Below are 2,583 nucleotides of genomic sequence, written 5' to 3' on the forward strand. Positions count from 1 at the left end.
GATTGCAACCCTTGTTTTTTTTTTTTTTTTTTTTTGCTTTCCATTTGCTTGGTAGATCTTCCTCCATCCCTTTATTTTCATCCTATGTGTATCCTTGCACGTGAGAGAGGTCTCCTGAATACAGTACACCAATGGGTCTTGACTCTTTTTCTAATCTGCCAGTCTGTGTCTTTTAATTGGAGCATTTAGCCCATTTACATTTAAGGTTAATATTTTTATGTGTGAATTTGATCCTGTTATTAGGATGTTAGCTGGTTATTTTGCCCATTAATTGATCCAGTTTCCTCATAGTGTCAGTGATCTTTACCATTTGGCATGTTTTTGCAGTGGCTGGTACTAGTTGTTCCTTTCCATGTTTAGTGCTTCCTTCAGGAACTCTTGTAAGGCAGGCCTGGTGGTGACAAAATCTCTCAGCATTTGCTCATCTGTAAAGATTTTATTTCTCCTTCACTTATGAAGCTTAGTTTGGCTGGATATGAGATTCTGGGTTGAAAATTCTTTTCTTTAAAAATGTTGAATATTGGCCCCCACTCTCTTCTGGCTTGTAGAGTTTCTGCCAAGAGATCCGCTGTTAGTGTAATGGGCTTCCCTTTGTGGGTAACCCGACCTTTCTCTCTGGCTGCCCTTAACATTTTTTCCTTCATTTCAACCTTGGTGAATCTGACAATTATATGTCTTGGGGTTGCTCTTCTCAAGGAGTACCCTTGTGGTGTTCTCTGTATTTCCTGAATTTGAGTGTTGGCCTGCCTTGCTACGTTAGGGAAGTTCTCCTGGATAATATCCTGAAGAGTGTTTTCTAACTTGGTTGTATTCTCCCTGTCACTTTCTGGTACACCAATCAAATGTATATTTGGTCTTTTCACATAGTCCATATTTCTTGGAGGCTTTGCTCATTTCTTTTCACTCTTTTTTCTCTTATATTGCCTTCTCACTTTACTTCATTAATTTGATCTTCTATCACTGATATCCTTTCTTTCACTTGATCGAATCGGCTATTGAAGCTTGTGCACGCGTCACGAAGTTCTTGTGCTGTGGTTTTCAGCTCTATCAGGTCATTTTAGGTCTTCTCTACACTGTTTATTCTAGTTAGCCATTCGTCTAACCTTTTTTCAAGGATTTTAGCTTCCTTGCGATGGGTTAGAACATGCTTCTTTAGCTCAGAGAAGTTTGTTATTAGTGACCTTCTGAAGCCTACTTCTGTCAACTTGTCAAACACGCTCTCCATCCAGTTTTGTTCCCTTACTGGTGAGGAGCTGCGGTCCTTTGGAGGAGAAGAAGCACTCTGGTTTTTGGAATTTTCAGCTTTTCTGGTCTGATTTCTCCCCATCTTTGTGGTTTTATCTACCTTTGGTCTTGATGGTGACCTACAGATGGGGTTTTGGTGTGGATGCCCTTTTTGTTGATGTTGATGCTATTCCTTTCTGTTTGTTAGTTTTCCTCCTAACAATCAGGCCCCTCAGCTGCAGGTCTGTTGGAGTTTGCTGGAGGTCCACTCCAGACTCTATTTGCCTGGGTATCACCAGCGGAGGCTGAAGAATAGCAAATATTGCTGCCTGATCCTTCCTCTGGAAGCTTCGTCCCAGAGGGGCACCTGCCTGTTTGAGGTGTCTGTAGGCCCCTCCTGGGAGGTGTCTCCCAGTCAGGATACACAGGGGGTCAGGCTCAAGACATACTTGAGGAGGCAGTCCGTCTGTTCTCGGAGCTCAAACGCCATGTTGAGAGAACCACTATTCTCTTCAGAGCTGTCAGACAGGGTTGTGTTTGTCTGCAGAAGCTGTCTTCTGCCTTTGGTCTATGCCCTGCCTCCAGAGGTGGAATCTAGAGAGGCAGTAATCCTTGCTGAGCTGTGGCAGGCTCCACCCAGTTAAAGCTTCCCGGCCACTTTGTTTACATTGTGAGCTACTCAAGCCTCAGCAATAGCAGACCCTCCTCCTCCCATCAAGCTGCAGTGTCACAGGTTGATCTCAGACAGCTGTGCTAGTAGTGAGCAAGGCTCTGTGGGCAGGGGACCCACCAAGCCAGGCATGGGAGGGTATGTCCTGGTTTGCCGGTTGTTAAAACCATGGGAAAAGCACAGTATTTGGTCAAGAGTGTACCATCTCTCCAGGTACAGTCTGTCACGGCTTCCCTTGGCTAGGAGAGGGAAATCCCCTGACTCCTTGCACTTCCTGGATGAGGTGATGCCCCGCCCTGATTTGGCTCACCCTCCGTGGGCTGCACCCACTGTCCAACCAGTCCCAATGAGATGAACCAGGTAGCTCAGTTGGAAATGCAGAAATCACCCATCTTCTGTGTCCATCTCACTGGGAGCTGCAGACTGGAGCTCTTCCTATTCGGCCATCTTGGAAGCAACTTGAATGTATTTTCTTTAGGAATATTATTGGCATCATGGAGATTCTGATTAAATTTCCCATCTTGGTGGTTAACTTAACAATGACTATATAAGTTATAATTAATTTGCTATTACATTTTTTAAAAATTTTGAATTAGGGCCCTATTCCTATAATTTGCTGTTGATGGTCTGTTATAATCTCTTAAGTTCTTGTTATCATTTGACAAGAGATAAATTTATTTCCACTTGTA

This window comes from Homo sapiens, chromosome 3, assembly GCF_000001405.40.
Source record: "Homo sapiens chromosome 3, GRCh38.p14 Primary Assembly".
NCBI classification, from domain to species: domain Eukaryota; kingdom Metazoa; phylum Chordata; class Mammalia; order Primates; family Hominidae; genus Homo; species Homo sapiens.